Source organism: Homo sapiens, chromosome 19, assembly GCF_000001405.40.
Source record: "Homo sapiens chromosome 19, GRCh38.p14 Primary Assembly".
NCBI lineage: Eukaryota > Metazoa > Chordata > Mammalia > Primates > Hominidae > Homo > Homo sapiens.
In genome coordinates this window covers 34,359,445-34,383,374 of record NC_000019.10, presented here as the reverse complement: position 1 = coordinate 34,383,374, position 23,930 = coordinate 34,359,445, and the positions used below count along the sequence as shown (strand labels likewise).

At 52.4% G+C, this 23,930-nt stretch overlaps 1 protein-coding gene across 8 annotated transcripts in view, besides 2 other annotated features; it reads right to left on the bottom strand.

The window, feature by feature from the left end:
- Positions 1-23,657, bottom strand: part of GPI (glucose-6-phosphate isomerase) — a 42,696-nt gene extending 19,039 nt beyond the window's left edge. For 2 of the 8 annotated variants that reach the window (NM_000175.5, NM_001329911.2), the window contains exons 1-9: positions 17,987-18,179; positions 16,940-17,030; positions 16,524-16,592; positions 14,673-14,792; positions 5,789-5,872; positions 5,494-5,640; positions 4,370-4,441; positions 3,813-3,857; positions 1,856-1,909 (exon numbers count right to left, since the gene is read on the bottom strand). In NM_000175.5, coding sequence (NP_000166.2) covers positions 1,856-1,909; positions 3,813-3,857; positions 4,370-4,441; positions 5,494-5,640; positions 5,789-5,872; positions 14,673-14,792; positions 16,524-16,592; positions 16,940-17,030; positions 17,987-18,108 — 804 coding nt within the window. In that variant the 5' untranslated portion in view covers positions 18,109-18,179. Of the gene's footprint in view, positions 1-1,855; positions 1,910-3,812; positions 3,858-4,369; positions 4,442-5,493; positions 5,641-5,788; positions 5,873-14,672; positions 14,793-16,523; positions 16,593-16,939; positions 17,031-17,986; positions 18,180-18,284; positions 18,636-23,478 lie in introns of those variants that run through there. The other 6 variants (NM_001440422.1, NM_001289789.1, NM_001329909.1 and 3 more) reach the window with 6 other exon arrangements.
- Positions 16,365-17,105: an enhancer, noted in NCBI's record as "H3K4me1 hESC enhancer chr19:34857175-34857915 (GRCh37/hg19 assembly coordinates)". NCBI's record gives its function as "activates a minimal SCP1, AML or CMV promoter by ChIP-STARR-seq in naive H9 embryonic stem cells {active_cell/tissue: H9 hESC(naive)}" and the evidence as "EXISTENCE:reporter gene assay evidence [ECO:0000049][PMID:30033119]".
- Positions 22,849-23,455: an enhancer, noted in NCBI's record as "H3K27ac hESC enhancer chr19:34850825-34851431 (GRCh37/hg19 assembly coordinates)". NCBI's record gives its function as "activates a minimal SCP1, AML or CMV promoter by ChIP-STARR-seq in primed H9 embryonic stem cells {active_cell/tissue: H9 hESC(primed)}" and the evidence as "EXISTENCE:reporter gene assay evidence [ECO:0000049][PMID:30033119]".

Sequence of the window (23,930 nt, the reverse complement as noted above, 5' to 3'; positions counted from 1 at the left end):
TAGCTTTGGCTCCTCAGACTTCACCTGACAGAACCACCTCTAAATACCTGCCTCTCCTCTGGAATTCACAGACCTATGGGTCCCTCTCCTGTCCTGGCTCCTCTTCAGAACTCACCTGGACCTGCTCTGGCTCTGCTTCAGGCCTCTCCAGCCAAAACTGGCCCTGTGGCGTGCGCTGACCCTGGCCGAGCCCTGAGAGACCCCATGGTTTCCCACCACACCCCTGCCTGATCCCGACACCCATGGCTGCCGCAAAACTGGCCCTGGCGGACCAAGAATTACCTCTTCTACATACCCCTACCAGACGGGACTCTTCTGATCTCACCTGAGGGCCGGCACTGCATCCCTAGGCCTGAGCTGATGGCTGTAGCTCACCCGAGACCCCACCTGCAGGAACTTCGCCTGCTCCTATCCCTGGGTTCTTCAGATATCACCTTCTTGATTCAGCAGGATACACTCTAGTAACTCAGGCAGGTCCCTCCTCCAGCCGTTGTGGGCTGTCTAGCCTGGCCCAGGAGGCCTCCACTTAGGTCTCACCAGCCAGCCCTGGCCCCATGTTCCTGTGTCCAGCTATCATTCCTAGGCCTTACCTGGGAGGCCAGACCCATCCTCTCCTTAAGCCACACCCTAACTCATCTCTACATGCTGGGTGGTGACAAGCAAGGACACCCCGATCTGCTTGGCTCCTTGGCTGGCAGCAGCACCCACACATCCCTGCCCACCACCTGCTCAGGCTCCAGATCCCAAGGAGGAGGTGGAAGGTGCCTGCCCTCCATTATCAGCCATGCAACATTTATTAGAAGCCGCACAGTCTCTCTTGACCAGTGTTCCGCATCTGAGCCACAGGATGCAGAAAATGACTTGAGTGATTCTCGTCAATTCTTCCAAGGATGGTATGTAACTAGTCTCATTCTAGAAAGAAGTTAACTCATTATACACAGTGGATGGCTTAAGGGATTAGGGCTTCATTCTCTCCCAGACCCTGGTAGTAAAAGGCCTTTAGAGCTTTCAAAGGAATGAGGTTATGTCTGTGGATGCCATCACCAAGCAAAGGGCCTCTGGTCCAAATGCCTGGAGACAGCCCCAGGTGGGAAAACCACCAAATGGGCAATGCCCTCTCTGCTGCGCCTGCCACAGCGTTAGAGCCCTGCACGTAAGCCCGGCCATGCCCACAGCATTCACAGTGCCTGCATCACACCCTGCACTGCACCCCTGCACCCTGGGCTTCACAGTCAGAGCCCTCCTCACACCACTGCTGAGCTCAGGCAAGTGCACAAGGAAAGCTGTGGCTCACTGCTCGGCTCCAGCAGAGGTGGTCCCATGGACCACCTGTTGCTACAGAGGGGTCGGCAGCCCTGTCACTCAAGGCAGGGTTTGCTCTGCAAGCTGCCCCAGCCTGGCGCCTCCTCTACGCCACCCCCCCAGCTCCTCCTGCAGCTCCTGTTGCTCCTTTCCAGGCCTACCCGGTCATACCTCATGCCTCACCCTGCCCTTGGCCTTTACAGATGGTGGCTGCAGTTCAGAGAAAGGTCATCACTGAGAATAACTCACAACCTCAACTCTGTGAGCGTGGCAAGGGGGACTCGGGTTACCCCACAGTGGGTGTTGCAGGCAGGCACCCAAGGGAGTGTCATGTGGCCCTGCAAGCTCAGCCCGCCCTCAGGTGGAAGTGGAGCCCTCATCCTGCCTGGGTTGCTCTTGCCCTCCAAGCCTCTCTGAGGGCCTCTCTACCTTTCCCCAAGCTAGGTATGCAGCAGGTACTCAATAAACACTGACCTGACCTCATGGGCCTCTCAACAGCCATGACTTGGCAAAGGACACTTAATTCACCCAGTGCAGAAGTGCTTGTACTTACATCCCAGAACTCGAACATGTTTTGAGGGTCAATTCCAAACTCCTTCACTTTGGTCTACAAAAAAAAAAACAAAGGGAGAGAAATGCAAAGAAGCATTTGCTAGCGGGATGGGAACAGGAGCTCCGGGAGGCAGGGAGCTGTGCTCCGTGAGCTGAGCCTCACCTTCCCCAGAGCCAGGGATGGGGCAGGGCTGGAGCAGCCTGTGAGTCGAGGGCAGGGCCCAGGATCTGCCCACCCCAAGCTGGACACCAGATCAGTCCATGACCAGCACGCCAGTGACGTTGTGCCTGCAAAGCCCCCTGCTGAGGGCAGCTGTAACCCCGTGTGAGGACCTGGCCCACACACTGCTCTGCAACAGCTCTCACCCAGGCCTGCCTGGGACACCAGAGCATGATACCCCTGGACATCTGGGAACCGAACCTAGGACTGGGACCCAAGTGTGGGCAGGGGCCACCTACCAGGCCAGGCAAACAAACACAGGCTGAACAGCCACCCAGCCCTTCCCATGTGTGGGAGGGTGACTGCACCAGGAAGCTCTGAGGAGCCATCAGGTATTCTGGTCCCCAGGGCAGACAGGGCCAGCAATTCCTTACCTATTCCACATAGGAGGAGAAGCCCTACTGACCAGTCAGTTGCAGGCAGGCAACAGTGCTATGGTTAGCCAGCCTTATGGCGTCCTGCTGCAGCTGGGTAGGCACTGGAGGCAGAGATGTGGGGATGATGGTGGAGGGGGTGGGAGGGAGATGTGGGTGTAGTCCCCAGCTCTGACACAGCACAGTGCCCACTGGCTGACTGCTGCTGTCACTCCTGGAGCATCCCTCACTCTGTCATGCCCTGCTGAGCCTGCACAACCTCGAGGCCAGGCAGACTGTGAGAACTTGGAGACAGGAGACCCAGGTTCTAATCCTGGCATCACCTACTCATACAGTCACTAAGTGGGCCGGGTACAGTGGCTCATGCCTATAATCCCAACACTTTGGTAGGCCGAGGTGGGCAGATCACTTGAGGTCAAGAATTCGAGACCAGCCTGGCCACCATGGAGAAAACCTGTCTCTACCAAAAATACAAAAATTACCTGGACGTGGTAGTGGGCGCCTGTAATCCCAGAATCAGCAGGCTGAGGCATAAAAATTACTTGAACCCAGAAGGCAGAGGTTGCAGTGAGCCAAGATCGTACCACTGCACTCTAGCCTGAGTGACAGAGTGACCTTGTCTCAAAAAATAAGCTGGACATGGTGGCACACACCTGTAATCCCAGCACTTTGGGAGGCTGAGGTGGGCAGATCACTTAAGGTCAGGAGTCAGAGACCAGCCTGGCCAACGTGGTGAAACCCCGTCTCTACTAAAAATACGAAAATAGCTGGGCATGGTGGCGTGCACCTGTAATCCCAGCTACTCGGGAGGCTAAGGCAGGAGAATCGCTTGAACCTGGAAGGCAGAGGTTGCAGTGAGCCAAGATCACGCCACTGCACTCCAGCCTGGGCAACAGAGTGAGACTGTCTTAAAAAAAAAAAAAAAAAAAAAAAAAACAAAACCACACACACTAAGTAGGGGGCAAAATGTCACCTCCCTTCATTGGGGCTTTATGTCCTTAAGTGAAAAATGGAATGCATCCTCTACCCCTACCTAGCATGTCACATTTGGGGAGATGCTGGGCACAAAGGCCTAGGAAGGTCATGTGTATGAAGGGTTCTGTGTATCAGTCAGGCCTGGGAGACGGAAGAAGGGGTTATCGTGATCCCACTGACTCCAAGCCTCCCTCCTCAAAGCTGCAGAGGTTGAATGGGTAAATGCGGAAAAGGCAAGGAAGGCTTGCAGCCCACAGGCAACCAAACCTTCCATACCATCAGCCAAGCCAAGATCCACCAGACCTACGAACCGCGTCTCTGAGAGGCCATGACCTGGACATGCTGGGCACTCCCAGGAAGGCAGTACAGGGGACCACGGGGGCACTTACTGTGTTAGTAGACAGGGCAACAAAGTGCTTCGCCACTGCAGAAGGCTACAAGAGACAGAGCCAAGTTACCACAGCCAGCCCAGGGAGACAAAGGGTAGTCACTTCCCATCACTAGAGGAACCAAGGCCCTGCATGGGACTGAGATTCCCAGTCCTTGGTTCTGAGACTGTTGGAGAAGGCCCACATCGAGGTCAAGGTCAAGAAAGCAGACGGGTCACAGGCCGCCTGCTCATCCCATCTTACAAGCATACGGGGCTCAGGGACGTCCCTCCCCTATAAAATAGGTGTGGCCAAGAGTTCCTGCAGCGCCAAGGGCCTGCAGAGAAAGGGCCATGCAAGGGCTGTCAGCCAGCGAGAGCAGGTTCTGTCACATCTGCAAGGCTGGGTCTGACAAAGCCAAGATGAACAATCATCTCATCTAGCAAAGGCAGGCACCGGCAAGGCCGCCTTCACTTCCAACTTCAGGAGAAACACGGCCAGACTTGGTCACTCAGGGGCCCACCCTGCTCTTCCCAGCCCAGAGGCTAACCACGAGGAAGGCCCTATAGCCCACTCACATCCTTGGCCGCCTGGAGAAACCACTCCTTCGCCGTCTCTGCATTCGTGATGGTCTCCTGGGTAGTAAAGGTCTGCAACCAAAGAGAACAGCAGTGGGCGCCCGAGCTTAGGGGTGGGTGCAGGCCTTGAGCCAGGGTTCAGCAGTAGAGGCCAAGGCAATGCCCAGCTGTCCCATGGAGCAGTATTTGCAGGTCAGTGACAGTGACGCCACATAACCTCCTGAGATTCCAGCTCTTTAAAACCAGAGGAGGGGGGACGGTAAACACACCCCCCAACCCTAAGCCTGCAGGTCAAAGGCCGCAGCTTCTCCCCTGAGGGGCTGCAGTCAACCTGAGGCTCTCTTCGGCCCAGGCTGGAAGGTATCTCAGAATTCAGATGGAATTCTTCATATTTTATGTACATTCATGTGAGTAAATAGAACATAAATAAAAACAAACAAAACCCCTCTATTATCAGGGCATGGCTCTGGGATCAGAAAGGAGCAAGCATGGCTGGGCATGGCGGCTCAAGACTGTAATCCCAGCACTTTGGGAGGCCAAGGGGGGGTGCATCACCTGAGGTCAGGAGTTCAAGACCAGCATGGCCAACATGGCAAAAGCCCATCTCTACTAAAAAATAATAATAATAAATAAATAAATAATAAAATTAGCCAGGCGTGGTGGTGTGTGCCTAGTCCCAGCTACTTGGGAGGCTGAGGCAGGAGAATCGCTTGAAACCTGGGAGACGGAGATTGCAGTGAGCCGAGATCACGCCACTACACTCCAGCCTGGGTGACAGAGCCAGACTCTGTCTCAAAAACAACAACAAGAAAAGGAGCAGGCATAAAGGACAGGTTTGTAAGAAAGTGGCGAGCAGTCCCAGGCTGAGCAGAGATGCCGCAAGGCGAGCGGGTGTGGTCAGGACACAAAGGTTCAAACTGATGTGTTCAGGATTTCATCAGTCAACCTTATTTGCTGCTAGGCATGGAAACAGTCTAGGGCAGCTGTACTGACCTGATCCACAAACCATGGTTCACTCGGAACCCACCAAAAGGGACCAATGGCCAGGGGGATGGCAAGACAGCTGTCCCTCCCCACCCCAACACACACAGGGCCAGGGGCCGGGCAGTTTTCGGCACTCATACCTTGGAGGCAATGATGAACAGGGAGGACTCGGGGTTCAGCTGGGCCAGGGTTTTGGCAATGTGAGTTCCATCAATGTTGGAGACATACCAGACGCGGGGACCTCCTGAAGAGTATGGCTTAAGGGCTTCAGTCACCATGAGGGGTCCCTGCGGGGAGACATAGCATCAGAGAATAAGAATTCAGGGCCCACGAAAAGTGGAGACAGCCAGGTCCCATCCCTGGAGAAAGTAAAGACCTGAGTGGGACCAACAGTGCCCAGACTCCCACCCTACCCCAAGGCAGTTTTCTCCTCACCAGGTCGGAGCCGCCAATGCCAATGTTGATGACGTCCGTGATGGTCTTGCCTGTGTACCCCTTCCAGTCACCGCTCCGGACACGCTGGCACAGGGGCGAAGATGCCATCAGCCCAAACCCCCAGGCATAATCCGCTGCTCAAAAACATCATTACTGCCGTGTCCTGGTACCTCAGTCCCAGCTTTCAGGCCCTCGCAGGTGCCTCTATTTTTTTGTTTTTAATTTACCATATATATATATATATATATATTTTTTTTTTTTTTTTTTTTTTTTTTTTTTTTTTTTGAGATGAAGCCTTGCTCTGTTGCCCAGGCTGGAGTGCAGTGGCATGATCTCGGCTCCCTGCAATCTCTGCCTCCCAGGTTCACGTCATTCTCCTGCCTCAGCCTCCTGAGTAGCTGGGACTACAGGCGCCCGCCACCACACCCAGCTAGTTTTTTGTATTTTTAGTAGAGACAGGGTTTCACCGTGTTAGCCAGGATGGTCTCGATCTCCTGACCCTGTGATCTGCCCGCCTCAGCCTCCCAAAGTGCTGGGATTACTGGCTTGAGCCACCGCACCCAGCTATTTATTTTTAATTTTTTTTTTGAGACAGAGTCTCCACTTTCTGGGTTCTAACAATTCTCATGCCTCAGTCTCCTGAGTAGCTGGGACTACAAGCCTGCGCCACCAGCATGCCTAGCTAATTTTTTTGTATTTTTAGTAGGGACGAGGTTTTGCCATGTTGGCCAGGCTGGTCTCGAATTACTGGCCTCAAGTGATCTGCCCAGCTCGGCCTCCCAAAGTGCTGGAATTACAGGTGTGAGCCACCGCGCCTCGCTATTTACTTATTTTTAAAACTGTGCCTTAGGGGCCAGGCAGGGTGGCTCAAGGCTGAGACAGGAGGATTGCTTGAGTCCAGGAAGTTGAGGCTGCAGCAAGCCAAGATCGCAACACTGCACCTCCAGCCTAGGTGACAGAGGAAGACCCTGACTCCAAAAACAGAACAAAATGCTCTGCTTTAGCCTTTTTTTTTTTTTTTTTGAGACAGGGTCTCACTCCGTCGCCCAGGCTGGAGTACAACGGCACGATCTCAGCTCACTGCAGCCTCCGCCTCCAGGCTCCAGGGTTCAAGCAATTCTCCTGCCTCAGCCTCCCAAGTAGCTGGGATTACAGGCACCTGCCACCCTGCCCAGCTAATTTTTAGTATTTCCAGTAGAGATGGGGTTTCGCCGTGTTGGCCACGCTGGTCTCAAACTCCTGACCTCAGGTGATCCACCTGCCTCGGCCTCCCAAAGCGCTTGGATTACAGGCATGAGCCACCACGCAAAGCCTATTTTATTTTTTGTAGAGACAGCGTCTTGCTACGTTGCCCAGCCTGGTCTCTAACTCCTGGCCTCAAATAATCCTCCCATCTTGACCTCCCAAAGTGTTGGGATTACAGGCGTGAGCCACTACACAAGGCATAGGAGTCTCTGGAGACCACACTGGTCCCTGCCACACTCACCACCAACTAGACTCTTTCCTGGTTACAACAGTGAGACATCCCTACCTTACAGCGACACTGTCAGAATTTGCAAAACCAGGGATAACTCGGCAGAATCTGCTATGCCAGAGACCAAGAGATGTGAAATGTTGAAAACTGTGACTGGGCTATGCTGGGGAAAGGAGTATCAGACCCGCAGCCAGTCTCCAATCAGACACCAGTGATCCTTGCTTCCTGGAATTCATGCCTCTGCATAGCTTCCGCCTGTGCTGGGAGGGGTGACCTATGCACCCATCCAGAGACTGCAAAAAGGGGTGAAATGTGACTTCAGAAGTGAGTTCAGAGAACGTGCAGTTTCTGCTTTGCTCTCTTGGATGACTCGCTTTGGGGAAGCTGTCTATCATGTTGTGAAGACATTCAAACAGTTTCATAAAGAAGCCCACGCGGCAGCGAACTAAGGCCTTTTTCCAAAAGTCACAGCCAACTCGCTTCCTGTGTATGGGACACTTTAGAGGGGGGTCCTCCAAACCCATCAAAACTTCCGATAACTGGGGCGCTGGCCAACATGTTGACTACAGCCTTATGAGAGATCCCCAAACCAAGACCAACCAGCTAAGCCGCTCCCAAACTTCTGACCCACAGACACTGTGAGAGGTAATAAAAGTTTACTGCTAGGCCGGGCATGGTGGCTCACACCTGTAATCCTGGCACTTTGGGAGACCAAGGCAGGCAGATCACAAGGTCAGGAGTTCGAGACCAGCCTAGTCAACATGGTGAAACCCCGTCTCTGCTAAAAAAAAAAAATACAAAAATTATCCAGGCATGGTGGCGTGTGCCTGTAATCTCAGCTACTCGGGAGGCTGAGGCAGGAGAATTGCTTAAATCCAGGAGGCAGAGGTTGCAGTGAGTGGAGATCACGCCATTGCACTCTAGCCTGGGCGACAGAGCAAGACTCCGTCTTAAAAAAAAAAAAAAAAGTGTATTGCTGTTTTAACCCAAGTTTTGATGTCATTTGTTATACAATGATAGATAACTAATACAGATTTTGGTATCAGAAGTACAGTGTGGTCATAATAAAAACCTAAATATGCAGGCCGGACTCAGTGGCTCATGCCTATAATCCCAGCACTTACTGGGAAACTGAGGCAGGAGGATCACTTGAGGCCAAGAGTTTAAAACTAGCCTGGGCAACATAGCAAGACGTCATCTCTACAAAAAATAAAAAAGTAGCCAGGCATGGTGACATGTGCCTGTAGTCCCAGCAACTTAGAAGGTTGAGGTGGGGAATTGCTTGAGCCCAGGAGTTCGAGGCTGCAGTGAGCAGTGACTGCACCACTGCACTCCAGCCTGGGCGACAGTGTGAGACCCTACCTCAAAAAAAAAAAAAACAAAGAAAAAAAGAAAAAAGAAAGAAAAGAAAAGAAATAATTATCCCATACATACCAGTCATCCCATGCCCACCTCACCATTGTATGCTGGGTGTGTGAGGGGTAATTTGTCTCTTTAAATTCTCATGTCTTCAGATTGAAAGGAACTGTACTAAAGGAAATGCAGGTACTACTACACCTGTACTTGACAAAATGAGGTTCTAGACTTCTAACAGACTTCTAATACTGTAACAGAATATGGACTTAGGAGAAAGTGAGTGGGGTATCTGTGTGTGGAAGGAACAAAATCAATCACTAGGCGCCAGAAGCGGGACTATGATAGTCCCCCACCTTCTAAGATGGTGACCAGTGGTCCTTGTCTCCTGGCATTAACCCACTGATGCAGTCCCTTCCCATGATGACCAGAGCTGATCTGTAACACCAACGGGGTATTATAGAAATCAAAGAGTGTAGCCGGGCGTGGTGGTTCACCCTGTAATCCCAGCATTTTGGGAGGGCAAGGCAGGCGGATCACTTGAGATCAGGAGTTCAAGACCAGCCTGGCCAAAATGGTGAAACCCCATCTCTACTAAAAAAATTTAAAAAAAAAAAAAAAAAAAAAAAGGCGGGCATGGTGGCGGGCACCTGTAATCCCAGCTACTCAGGAGGCTAAGGCAGGAGAATCGCTTGAGCCGGGGACCGGAGGTTGCAGTGAGCCAAGATCACGCCATTGTACTCTGGCCTGGGTGACAAGAGTGAAACTCTGTCTCAAAAAAATAAAAATAAAAAAAAGAAAGAATGTGAATCCTGATATTAGGTCACAAAAGACCTCCAGGCATCTGCCTTACTCTCTATTGGATCACTCACTCTGGGAGAAATAAGCTGCCTTGTCATGAGGACACTCGAACTGTCTGTGCCTCCCAAAGGCAGCACTGCTAGTGAGCCATCTTCAAAGCAGACCCTCCAACCCCCATGAAGCCTTCAAATGACCACATCCTTAGCCAACATCTTGACTGCAACCTTAGAATATCAGAGCCACTACACCAAACACAGCCACTGCAAATTCCCCACATAAAGAGACGGTGATTGTTGCTTCTAGTTGCTAAATTTTGGAATAATTTCCCACACATCAATAAAAAATTACTATACACTAATAAGATCCAGCAATTTTCTTTTAATTTTTTTTTTTTTTTTTTTGGAGATGGAATCTTGCTCTGTCACCCAGGCTGGCATGCAGTGGTGCTATCTCAGCTTACTGAAACCTCCACCTCCCGGGTTCAAGCGATTCTCCTGCCTCAGCCTCCCAAGTAACTGGGACTACCGGCATGCACCACCATGCCCAGTTATAAATTTTTTTTTTTTTTTTGAGACAGAGTCTCGCTCTGTCACCCAGGCTGGAGTGCAGTGGCGCCATCTCAGCTCTCAGTAACCTCCACCTCATGGGTTCAAATGATACTGCTGCCTCAGTCTCCTGAGTAGCTGGAATTATGGGCGCCTGCCACTACTCCTGGCTAATTTTGTTTGTATTTTTAGTAGAGACGGGTTTTGCCATGTAGGCCAGGCTGGTCTCAAACTCCTGACCTGAAGTGATCCGCCCACCTCGGCCTCCCAAAGTGCTAGGACTACAGGTGTGAGCCACAGCACCCAGACTATAAATTATTTTTTAATTAAAAAAAAAAAATAGGCTGGGCACGGTGGCTCACGCCTATAATCCCAGCACTTTGGGAGGCTGAGGTGGACAGATTATGAAGTCAGGAGTTCGAGACCAGCCTAGCCAACATGGTGAAACTCCATCTCTACTAAAAACACAAAAATTAGCTGGGTGTGGTGGCAGGTACCTGTAATCCCAGCTACTCGGGAGGCTGAGGCAGGAGAATCGCTTGAACCTGGGAGGCGGAGGTTGCAGTGAACCGAGATCAGGCCATTGCACTCCAGCCTGGGTGAAAGAGAGAGACTCTGTCTCAAAAAACAAACAAACAAAAAAGAGACAGGGTCTAGGTTGCCCAAGCTAGTCTTGAACTCCTGGCCTGCAGTGATCCGATTCACCCTTCCAAAATGCTGGGATTATACAAGAGCCACTGCACCTTGCTGGGTATTTTTTAGTTTTGTTTTAACGACAGGGTCTCGCTCTGTTGCTCGACCTGGAATGTAGGAGTATGATCATAGCTCACTGCAGCTTCAAATTCCTGGGCTCAAGCAATTCTCCCGCCTCAGCCTCCTAAGCAGCCAGGACTATAGGTACACACCACCACAGCTGGCTAATTTTTAAATTTTTGTTAAAGGCAGGGTCTTGTTATGTTGCCCAGGCTGGTATTATACTCCTGGCCTCAAGCAATCCTCTTGCCTCTGCCTCCCAAAGTGCTGGGATTACAGATGTGAGCAACTGTGCCTGGCCCTACTTTTTCTTTAAATAAACTGCCATGGGAAAATTTCCATCAATACAGAAAGAAATAAAATAAGTTGTTCAACTTCTCAACCCTCCCTCACAGGCGTGTGACAAAAGAGGTTAGAAAAAGCAAGTCTTGGCTGGGTGTGGTGGCTCATGCCTGTAATCCCAGGACTCTGGGAGGCCAAGGTGGGTGGATCACCTGAGGTCAGGAGTTCGAGACCAGCCTGACCAACATGGTGAAACCTCATCTCTACTAAAAATACAAAAATTAGCTGGGTGTGGTGGCGGATGCCTGTAATCCCAGCTACTCAGGAGGCTGAGGCAGGAGAATTGCTTGAACCTGGGAGGCGGAGGTTGCAGTGAGCCGAGAACTCGCCATTGCACTCCAGCCTGGGCAACAGAGTAAGACTCTGTCTCAAAAAAAAAAAAGCAAGTCTCCTTTCCCGACTGTCAAAGGTTTGTTATAATGAAGCATCCCAGAGGAAAAATGTGTCTTTTTTTTTTTCTTTTTGAGACAAAGTCTCACTCTGTTGCCCAAGCTGGAGTGCAGTGGCGTGATCTTGGCTCACTGCAACCTCCACCTCTGGGGTTCAAGTGATTCTCCTGCCTCAGCCTCCCGAGTAGCTGGGACTACAGGCATGCACCACCATGCCAGGCTAACTTTTTTGTATTTTTTTTTAGTAGAGATGGGGTTTCATTATGTTGGCCAGGCTTGTCTTGAACTCCTGACCTCGTGATCCACCCACCTCGGCCTCCCAAGGTGCTGGGATTACAGGTGTGAGCCACTGCACCAAGCCAAATGTGTCTATCTTTATTACAATTACACCCAGCCTTCATTTGACCAAATGAGTCTTTACCATACCCACCAATTCTGCAACTTCCTTTTTCAACTTCCCAGTCCATCCTGAACAGCATGGCAGATCAATCCAACTATAGCTCCCTAATCCCTATTGGTGCCCAGGATGACAGTATATGAATATGTGCTGACTCTACTTTGTAAGTCCCCTGACAAATGAGTACAGCTTGGTTTCAGGTTTTGCCACTACAATCAAGGTCACAGTGAACGTCTTCACCCAATCTTGGCAAACTTTGGAGAGCACAGCCATGGGGAATGTTCCTCACCAGGGGATTACTGCCATTCAGCAACTTTTTTTGAACTATAAATACCTTATCAGCCTGAGTCAGGTACTCCAGTGGCCAGCTTTAAGGGAAGGCTTTCCTGGAAACAGCACCCCAGACGGTGCAGTGCCATCCTCGCCATGTGGCATGGCTGAGCACACCCAGACTGATCACACAGCACTAGGCTTTTAATGCACTTCAGCTCTGCCACTCACAGCAGATGGCTGGAAAGGCCCCGCCACACACCCAAAGACCATCACATGGACTGATCACCCTAAGTGACATTCAGGAAATCCAGATTCCCATCAGGACCCCACAACTTCCTTGCCCTGGAGGCGTCTCACTCTGTCACCTGAGCTGGAGGACAGTGGCACAATCTCAGCTCAGTACAGACTCAACCTCCCGGGCTCAAGCAATCCTCCCACCCCAGCCTCCCAAGTAGCTGGGATACACCACCACACCTAGCTGATTTATTTATTTTTTCCAGAGATGGGTTGGTTTTTTTGTTGGTTTTTTTTTTTTGAGACAGAGCCTCACTCTGTCACCCAGGCTGGAGTGCAGTAGCGTGATCTTGGCTCACTGCAACCTCTGCCTCCCGGGTTCAAGAGATTCTCCTGCCTCAGCCTCCCCAGTAGCTGATATTACAGGTGCTCGCCACCATGCCCGCCCAGGTAATTTTTTTGTATTTTTAGTACAGACGGCGTTTCACCATGTTGATCAGGCTGATCTCAAACTCCCGACCTCACATGATCCACCTGCCTCAGCCTCCCAGAGTGCTGGGATTACAGGCGTGAGCCACTGCACCCAGCCCATTTTCAGGTCTGAAAGTGGCTCTTGGCCAAAGTAACTGGACTCTGACCAGCCACACATGGAGGCCACTGCTCCTAGGACAAGCAGCAAATGATCACAGCTGACAAGAGTTTGGACGATCACCCTCGTAGCATGCACAGCCCACACAGGCACACCGGCATCACCCTCGTTCTCCAGACGTGAGGATGTCTGCCAACCCACCCCTGCAGAATCACCGCTAGGGTAGACACTGAGGCAAGTGCTTGATGTGGGGAAACTTAGCTGGTCTCTGAGGCAACCCCTACCACCCTACACACAAGGAAAAGAAGGCATGTTACATGCACTGTCACTGACACACGGACACTGCTTACATACTTCCAGGTGGAAATAAGCTTCAGAGGAGCAGGGAGAAAACCAACCTGTGTGCATGTGCACATGTGTACGTGTTTCAAAGAGGAGATGACAGATGTGTATGTGCACAGGAACTTTCTGGAAGACTTCACAGGAAAACTTTTCTATTTTTTAAATTTATTTAGAGACACGATCTTGCTGTCGCCCAGGCTGCAGTGCAGTGGTGTCACCATGGCTCACTGCAGCCTCAACTTCCCAGGCTCAAGCCATCCTCCCACCTCAGCCTCCTGAATAGTTGGGAATAGAGGTATGAGCTGCTGCGCCTGGCTACAGGAAACTTTACAAAGGCTGCTTCTGGAGGGTTAGCTGGGAATGGGGATGAGGAAATTTTTTTTTTTTTTTGACAGAGTCTCCCTCTGTCGCCCAGGCTGGAGTGCAGTGGCGCAATCGCAGCTCACTGCAACCTCTGCCGCACGGGTTCAAGCGATTCTCCTGCCTCAGTCTCCCAAGTAGCTGGGATTGCAGGCGTATGTCACCAAAACTGGCTAATTTTTGTATTTTTAGTGGAGATGGGGTTTCACCATGATGGCCAGGCTGGTCTCGAACTCCTTACCTCAAGTGATCCACCCACCCCGGCCTCTCAAAGTTCAGGAATCACAGGCATGAGCCATCGCGCCCAGCCAGGGTTGAGGAAATTTTACAATGTTTTATCTGTTTCTAGACTGGGTGATAAGGGCGTATGACAAAAGAGATTAGAAAAAGCTCCTTCCGGCCAGGCGCAGTGGCTCATGCCTGTAATCCCAGGTGAGGCAGGCAGATCACCTGAGGTCAGGGGTTTGAGACCAGCCTGGCCAACATGGTGAAATCCCGTCTCTACTAAAAATACAAAAATTAGCTGAGCAGGGTGGCGCATAATTGTAATTCCAGCTACTCGGGAGGCTGAGGTAGGAGAATAGCTTGAATCCAGGAGGCGGAAGTTGCAGTGAGCTGAGATAGCACGACTGCAGTCCACTCTGGGCGAGAGAGTGAGACTCCATCTCAAAAAAAAAAAAAGAAAAAAGAAAAAGCTCCTTCCTTTCCTGACTGTCCTGTCTCTCAGGGGCCCCACTTTTCATTTGAAGCCTCTGTGGTTTGTCACCATGAGTCCATAGGTGTCTACAATTCAGGAAAGAAACTGGCCCCACTTCTGCCAGCAGCAGATTCCTTCAGAGCAGAGCCAGGAGAAATTCAGGCCTCAGCAGAGACTCCAGGGTCAGCGATCACACAGGCAACCCCTCCCTTAAGCTGCAGTGAGAACCTGAGTCCTGCCTACAAGAAGAGGGAAGAGCTGCCCCTTAGGGCTCCCAGATTCCCAAATAACTCACACACACGGCCAAGGGTGAGTCCGGCCCAGTAGCCACTTACCTGGCAGAAAGACTTCATCTTGTCCAGAACCTTGTTGACCTCTGGCATCACATCCTTGCCGTCTACCAGGATGGGTGTGTTTGACCGGTTCCGCAGAGCCACGTGCAGCACGGCTCGACCCTGGGGATTACGGTCAGGATATAAAGACTGCCCCCCCCAACCCCAGGCAGCCATGCTCCCAGCTGGGCATGGTGCCATAGCTCGGCCCTCTATCCACTAGACAGGCAGGCCCTGAGGTCTCTGTTAGCACCATAACCTTGTTCCAAGAACCCACTGTATGCTTAGAGGAGTAGGAGCTCCCCAAGGACTTATGTGCTGCAGACAGTCAGGAGGAGAGGAGGGGACCCATATATGCCTAGGACAGGCCCCGAAGGCCTGCCAGAGATGCTCAGGGCATGAACAGTGAGAGAAAAGAGGAACAGTGAGCAAAGGCAGAGAATGGCAACAATACATGTCAGAAACAAGCAATAAATGCTTTCAGAGGCCGGGCGCCATGGCTCACGCCTGTAATCCCGGAACTCTGGGAGGCCATGGCAGGTGGATAACTTGAGGTCATGAATTCGAGACCAGCCTGGCCAACATGGTGACATCCTGTCTCTACTAAAAATACAAAAATCAGCCAGGTGGGGGTGGCACACACCTGTAGTTCCAGCTACTCAGGAATCTGAGGCAGAGAATCGCCTGAACCCATTAGACAGAGGTTGCAGTGAGCCAAGATCGCACCACTGCACTCCAGCCTGGGCGACAGAGCAAGACTCCATCTCAAAATAAATAAATAAATAAACGCTTTCCGAAGATGAGTGCTCATGAAGCCTGAAGTAACCTCATCCTCCCAATGTGTGTCCATGGTGTTTGCTGGCACGTTTTAGGCAGTGTCCTCAGCTCCTTGGATTTGCAGCAAGGCATGCAACTCAAGCTTCCCTCACCAAGCAGCCCGATAACTACCAACTGCCAGGAACCAAACCAGACTTGAAGTCTGTGACGGGTGCCAGGCGGCTGGCCCAGCCACGTGAGTGAAATGGCCTGAAGTCAGCAGAGGAGTCCTTGAGGGAAGGTCTAACGACCCCAGGTGGGCAGGAAAAGGATCATCTTGGGATTCCGACCCAGTGAGAGGCTTGCTAAGGTGGAGGGCTTCATGCCACCCCACCCTCACCCTGCCAGACCCCACTCCTGCGCCACATTTTATTGGCAAATGCACTCCTCCAGAAAGCCTTCCTTGATTGCATCCTCTCTCAGCTTAGACCCACAATGCAAGACAGGTTGAGTGTGAATCTCCATTCTGCCTCTTACAGCTATGACATCTTAGATAAGTGATGTGACCTCTGAACCTCAGACTCCTCACATGTAAGAGGAGGATAATGACATCATGAGGACAGAGTCTGGGTGCTCAGTGTCCATTATACCTCCAGGCTGGGCTCCCATACTGAGTCAGGAACAGGGGCCCCCAGGCCTGGCCTCACCACTGCTTCCTATTGACTCCTACTGCTTGAGTAGGCTGAAGTCTTTGGTGATCTAAGATTCTTCTTGTCGCTACTAAAACTTGCATTGAGGATATATTAGAGTTAACTTCTCCAAGAAAATGTCAGCCTTGAGAAACTCTCCCTGTGGGTATGAGATATGCTCCTCCCAGGCAGACACTGGGAACCATTCCAAGGAGCTCACCAAACCAATCTTGTGGAAGGCACACCCCAAAGCCCTGCTACAAGCAGGAGGAAAAAGGCCTTCAGGCCCCTCATTAAGCAAAAGCATTGCCCAAGAGAAGGGGTGAAGACACAGGGTGATGCGGCTAACAGTCAGATAAACCCCAAAGGGAAGGAAGGAGGCCCCAGAGGGTATGTGGGGCCTGCTCACCTCGGTGTAGTTGATCTTCTCACCATTGAACATCCGCTCCCGGGCGGCCTCCACGCCCCTGGACTTGGCCTAGGAAGAGACGATACTGAGGCCTGGTCCCACCCACACTGGCCACCCCAAGTGTCAGCCCCCAAACACAAGGCTTGGTGCTGTCCCCAATGAGACAGACAGACGGCTGCTGTCTGGTTCCCTCCCCTGCTGTCTGGGAAGGGTCTACTCAGACATCAGACACTGGGGTCCCTGGGATGCTGCTTAGAACCTAAGCCAGGGACAGGTGCCTCACCAGCACAGAGGAGGTGACTGAGGTCTAATGAGAGGAAGAACTCAAGATACTCAAGGTCCTGGGGACTCCCAGGAGCCCAGCTCACCCACCACTCTGTCGGTTACCAGTTATGCCTCCCCAAGCAGAACATTACCAAGTCCACCAGCATCCGCATCACGTCCTCCGTCACCAGGTTCTTGGAGTAATCCACCAGGATATGCCCATGGTTGGTGTTGAGGGTCAAGCTGCAGAAAGATGGAGATGCTGCTGACCACACCCTGGTCTCCCTAGCGGGGAGCCATGCCCTAAGCAGGAGCTGTTCCCAGAAGAAACATCCTCCCTGACCCACGCCCCACAAGGGCCGCGGCCACCCAGCACAGTGGTGGTGTCTGTCACCTGCTGGCCCACCAGGATGATCTGCAACAGCAGCCCAGAGAAAGAAGCCATCCTCACAGACCGTAGATGCAGGCAGACCCTGGATGAGGAGCCCGGACTGAAGTGGGGGACCACCCCTTCCCAGGGCTTCCACTTTCTGCCGTAAGTTACTCAGGCACCCATCCAGATGACAGGGATGGCCATCGGGACGTCTAGCCCGGAGCCACAGTCGCTCCCCTCCCCCGCCTCCACCAGTATCAGTGATCAGAGCTCCCTTGGCCGCACTCCCGCCCATGATTTGCTCAAACACTCCTTCCCACTTCCCGGTCGTGCACAGGTGTCTTCTGCAGGAATCACGCCCGACGTCTCCATCCTTCCACCCAGCTCCCTCAAACACCCCCGCCCGGGCTGCCCGCCCTGCAGACGCTCCCAAGCTCATGTGGCCAGGAGCGGATGGAAAGGGACAGCCCTTTCCCGCTTGCTGCGTCAGCCAAGGCCTCTCTTCACAACTGCGAAAGGAGCCCCTGCTCAAATGGCCAGAGCTGCACGGGGAGGAGGAGGGGAAATGTCCCCACGGAGGGGCCCGTTTTTCCTCGTAACGAAGCAGACCCGGGGCCGAGACTCCCGGCGAGGCTGCAAGCCCCCAGGAACGCACTCCAAGGAGACTCCAAGGACGAAGTGCGGACTCGGCCTGGGCCCCAGTCCGTGGCCTGGAGGTCGGGGACTGGGGTCCCCGGGCACCGCTGCCCCCGCCTCCAGACCCCAGGCCCGCGTGCCCGGTTCCGGGCGCCGCGCGTGGCAGCCCCCGCCTCCGGCCCGCCCGCACCTGAAGTGGTTGAAGCGGTCCTTGTTGGCATCGAAGAGGCGGCGCAGGTTCAGCTCGGAGCGGTGCTCGCGGTACCATTGCTGCAGCTTCTGGAACTGGGGGTCCCGGGTGAGAGCGGCCATGGCGGGACTAGAAGGTACACTGAGTGAGACGCGAGCCGAGGAGGAAGGAGCGCCGGCAGCGCGCAGCAAGCGAGGCGCGTGGGCGCGCGGCGGCCTTTATGGCGCAGGCGCCCGGCCCGGCCCGGCCCGGCCCCACCCCTGAGCCCCGGCCCCGCCCCCGACCCGCGCCCCGATACCCAGGCCGGGTGCCCGCTGAGCGACCTTGCCCGCGGCCGCTGATCTGGGGCCTCAGCTCCTCTCTCCCTACCTCTTGCGCCGCCGCTTTGCTGGCCTCTGCCCGGAAGTGGCAGTGGGGAGGGTGGGCAGAGCCCGGGGATCACTGGAGCCCAGGTGTTGGAGGCTGCAGAGAGCTACCATCGCGCCGCTGCACTCCCTGTGCACTAGTCGGCTTCATTCATTCATTCGACAAAACTCTATAGATCGAACACCTTCCACGTTACAGGCAGTGTTCTAGGCGCTGTGGATACATATGTGCCAAATAAGCAAGTACAACAGATGATGTGTGTCTGCTGGTGGTAAGGGCTATTGAGGAAAACCAAGATGAAAAGGGTGCTGAGAATCGGGGTTGCAATTAAGAAAAAAGTGACTAGGCCGGGCGCGGTGGCTCACGCCTGTAATCTCATCACTTTGGGAGGCCGAGGCAGGCGGATCATGTGAGGCCAGGAGTTCCAGACCAGACTGGCCAACCTGGTGAAACCTCATCTCTACTGAAAAAAAAAATGCAAAAATTAGCCGGGCCTGGTGACACGTGCCTGTATTCCCAGCTAACTCGGGAGGCTGAGGCAGGATAATCACTTGAACCTGGGAGGTGAAGACTGCAGTGAGCCACTGTACTCCAGCCTGGGTGGCAGAGTGAGACTCCATCTCAAAAAAAAAAAAAAAGATGAGGTCAGAGAGCAAAAGGGAGGCAACAAGATCACGTAAGACCTTGTAAGTCATTGTAAGAACTCTGGGGCTGGGCACTCCTGCCTATAATCCCAGCACTTTGGGAGGTGGGATAGCTTGACGCCAGGAGTTCAAGCCGAGCCTGGGCAAGACAGCAAAACACTGCTTCTAAAATACTAAAAATAAATTAGCGGGGCATGTGGTGGTGCATATCTGCAGAGTCCCAGCTACTCGGGAGGCCAAGGCAGGAGGATCACTTGAGTCCAGGAGTTAGAGGCTGCCGTGATTACCACCACTGTACTCCAGCTTGGGTGACACAGCAACACCTTGTCTTAAAAAAAAGAAAAGAAAAGAAAAGAAAATAGGGAAAGGCTGACAACAAAAGAAATAAGTGGTCACTGAGGGGTCACAGGACTTTCCAGGGAACAGCCCTGTCCACATGGCCCTTTTCTAAGAACTGTCAACTCTTAAGATTTCACTGAGCTTCCACACCTAGCACAACCCTGGTAGTGCTGAACAGTATCTGTTCTACTGGAGTTCTTTTTTTGTTTGTTTGTTTGTTTGAGATGGAGTCTCGCTCTGTCACCAGGCTGGAGTGCAGTGGCGTGATCTCAGCTCACTGCAACCTCCACCTCCCTGGTTCAAGCGATTCTCCTGCCTCAGCCTCCTGAGTAGCTGGGACTACAGGCGCACGCCACCACACCCAACTAATTTTTGTATTTTTAGTAGAGATGGAGTTTCACCATGTTGGCCAGGATGGTCTCAATCTCTTGACCTCATTATCCGCCTGCCTCAGCCTCCCAAAGTGCTGGGATTACAGGCATGAGCCACTGCGCCTGGCCTCTACGGGGGTTCTGAGAAACACTCCAATCAGGGTTTTCTAAGCCAGTTACTCATCTACACAGAAGAGAATTCCCACCCCAAATCCTCTGTTTCAGAACAAAACCTCAACCAATGGGAAGGCGAGTCTCAGTAGCCACTGCCCCATTATCACTTACCCTGTGATTCCTCAGATGACTCTAGCCCAATAGTAACCACTGACTCCCTCTGACTCCTCCTTCTTTTTTTTTTTTTGAGACAGGGTCTCACTCTGTCACACCCAGGTTGGAGTGCAGTGACACGATCTTGTCTCACTACAGCCTCTGCCTCCCAGGCTCAAGCGATCTTTTCAACTCACCCTTCTGAGTAGCCAGGACTACAGGTGTGCACCACCATGCCCAGCTAATTTTTTCCTTGTAGAGACAAGCTTTGTTATTTTTTGTACAGACGAGGTTTCATCATGTTGCTCAGGCTAGTCTCGAATCCTTGGGTGCAAGTGATCTGCCTGCCTTGGCTTCCCAAAGTGCTGGGATTACAGGCATGCAGCACTGCACCTGCAAACTGAGACTGCCTTTTTCTAGTAGGTTATTTTGGTGACCAGATGGACGGCTGTTGTTCTTTGTCTAAAACCATCCTCTCCCACCCGTGTTTCTACCCCTGCCTGAATCCATCAGAGATGAGCACATAACTTATGCCAGCTAAACAGGGTCCTTTTCCAGGGCCCTGCAGCCAGCAGCAGAAAGTCTCTGCTTTTTATGGTGTTAAGCTGCCTGTCAGAAAGGACAGACCTGAGCTCTAGCCCCTGGTCTTGAGGAAAATAACGAAGAGAATGATCCCCACAGAGATGTCAGAGTGAATCTCACAGTGCCCAGGTTCCTGGGGCCAGGCCACCTCTACCTGCAGCTAGAATGTAAACCAACGATTCCCTTTAGTGTCTGTTTGGAGTTCAGTTGTCATTCACAACTCCAAGTCTTTCCAAAGATGTTACGGGTGTTCACCTTTCCACTGCCACAGTCTTGTCCAGTGTCCTCTCCCGACCACCAGGAACCCTAGAAACAGCTTTGGGTATTGCGAAAGAGGCAGGAGGTGAGGCCTCTGATGATTGCCATTTCAAAGGTTTCCCCTGCCTTTTAATCTTCCATAATGTACACCTCTGCAACTTGGCCTCTGTGATTCCCAGAAGCTTCAACTATTCCAGATTTCACATTTACTTTGAAACTCCAGTTACATGGATTTTCTTTTTTTCTTCTTTTTTTTTGAGATGAAGTTTCACTCTTGTTGCCCAGGCTAGAGTGCAATGGCACGATGTTGGCTCACTGCAACCTCTGCTTCCCTGCAACCTCCACCTCCCAGGTTCAAGCAATTCTCTTGCCTCAGCCTCCCTAGTAGCTGGGGTTACAGGCACCCGCCACCTCACCAGGCTAATTTTTTTTTTTTTTTTTTTTTTTTGAGATGGAGTCTCCCTCTATCACCAGGCCAGAGTGCAGTGGCACCATCTCGGCTCACTGCAACCTCCGACTCCCTGGTTCAAGCAATTCTCCTGCTTCAGCCTCCCGAGTAGCTGAGATTACAGGCATGCAACACTACGTCCAGCTAATTTTTGTATTTTTAGTAGAGTTGGGGTTTCACTGTGTTGACCAGGATGGTCTCGATCTCCTGACCTCGTGATCCGTCTGCCTCAGCCTCCCAAAGTGCTGGGATTACAGGCGTGAGCCACTGCACCCGGCCTAATTTTTGTATTTTTAGTAGAGATGGGGTTTCACCATGTTGGCCAGGGTAGTCTCGAACTCCTGACCTAAGGTAATCCACCCACCTCGGCTTCCCAAAGTGCTGGGATTACAGGCATGCAACACCGCGCCCAGCCTGGATTTTCTATGTTAGCAGGAAACTAGGTTCCTATCTGGTGGGCCATAAATCACAGTGGCTACAGGGAGAAAGCACAGAAAAGTAAGAAGAAAAGTCTAATCCAAAGCCATTTTGGATTAGAAAGTACTAATCCAAAGCCATTCATCATCATACTACAAAACTACCAACACGGCCACTACTCCAGCCAGGTTTACTACGTGCACAGCTCCATGCTAAATCCTTTCCATGTATCCCTCATGGCAGTCCTATGAAGGATACCCTGTTGTCCTCCCCATTTAACAGAGAGGTTAAGAAATGTGAAATGAGGCCGGGCACGGTGGCTCACGCCTGTAATCCCAGTACTTTTGGAGGCTGAGGTGGGTGGATCACGAGTTCAGGAGTTCGAGACCAGCCTGAGCAACATGGTGAAACCCCCGTCTCTACTAAAAATACAAAAAAATTAGCTGGACGTGGTGGCGGGCACCTGTAATCCCAGCTACTTGAGAGGCTGAGGCAAGAGAATGGAGTGAACCCAGGAGGCAGAGCTTACAGTGAGCTGAATCATGCCACTGCACTCCAGCCTGGGCGACAGAGCGAGACTCTGTCTCAAAAAAAAAGGAAAGAAAGAAATGTGAAACAAGGCCGGGTGCAGTGACTCACACCTGTAATCCCAACACTTTGGGAGGCCGAGGCAGGTGGATCACTTGAAGCCAGGAGTTTGAGACCAGTCTGGCCACCATGGTGAAACCCTGTCTCTACTAAAATTACAAAAATTAGCCAGGCGTGGTGGCGGACACCTGTAATCCCAGTTACTGGGGAGGCTGAGGCAGGAGAATCACTTGAACCCGGGTGGCAGAGGTTGCAGCGAGCCAAGATCATGCCACTGCACTCCGGCCTGGGTCACAGAGTGACACCCTGTCTCCAAAAAAATAGAAAGAAAGAAATATGAAACAAGCCACTCTGCTCTTAACTAGAGAATCAACCCAGGCTGCCTGGTTCCTTCCTGAGACCTGTGCTCCTGCCAGTTCCTCTTCAGTCCTAGGAAAAAGGTGGAGGGAAAGTGGAGGAGCAGGCAATCCCTTTCTCCACTCCTCATCATCCCAGTTATGTCTTATTAGTTGAAACAGTGTCTCGCTCTGTCACCCAGGCTGGAGTGCGGTGGCATGACCATAGCTCACTGCAGCCTTGAACTCTGGGCTCAAGCGATTCTCTCACCTCGGTCTCCTGAGTAGCTAGAACTACAGGCATGACCACCCCGTCCCGGCTAATTTTCTTATTATTATTATTTGTAGAGACTGAGTTGCACTGTGTTGCCCAGGCTGGTCTCAAATTCCTGGCTTCAAGAGATCTTCCTGCCTCAGCCTCCCAAACTGTTGGGATTACAGGTATGCGTCACTGTGCCTGGCCATAAGGTCATTTTATATTCTGTTGTCTATCACCATCAGTACAATCACTACCATATGCTGAGCCAAGTCCTGCCGATCGCAGAGCTTAGGGCTCAGAATCCCCAGGATCCTGGGGGGTAGTGAAGCTGGGAGGGGTCATGCCCCCAGGCCAGGGACTGACCAAGGAGAATCGAAAGGAAACCTAGCCCAGAAATTCCAAGAGAACATGCTGCAGAGCCGGACACCTTCACGTGCCCCCAGCAAGATGATGTGGCCCTGAGAGAGGAGCGGACCAGAGGGTACACCTGACAGCAGAGGCAAGTTAGGAAGTCCGGGGACAGTCCTAACTCTGGATAGCAAAGATTTAATTTCAAGCATAAGGCAGCCCTGGAAAAGCAATTGACTGCCACTGAGTATTGATGAAGCTAGCACTTACTGCAGGCTGTGGCGGGCACAGTTCCAAACAAGAGCCCCGTTCTAAAGATGGGGAAACTGAGGTATCGGCATTTAGACATCACAGACCTTACTTCAGGGCCGCTGGACAGGGGTCAGGCAGGCCCTGGAGCACAGGTGGCCATGGGAGTGAAGGCAGAGGGACTGGGGCAGAGGACTGGTGGGGTGGTCAGTTCTGGGGCCTGAGCTGAAGAAGTCGGGAGCGGGGCGTGGCGTGGCGTTTCCACGCCCATGGATTTTAGACAGCTGTTCCGGGGGAGGAGGCGAGCCCACCGAGGATGCTGAGTCATGTTGACCGGCGAAGGCGAGGGGACCACGCCTCTGGAGCTACCGGGGTTGGCTCATCGCCTCCGGGGAGGCCACGGAGCAGGTGTAGGCGGGGTTGAGCGCAGGCGCGGATGGGGCGGGGGTAATGCGCACGCGTGTGCGTGTGGG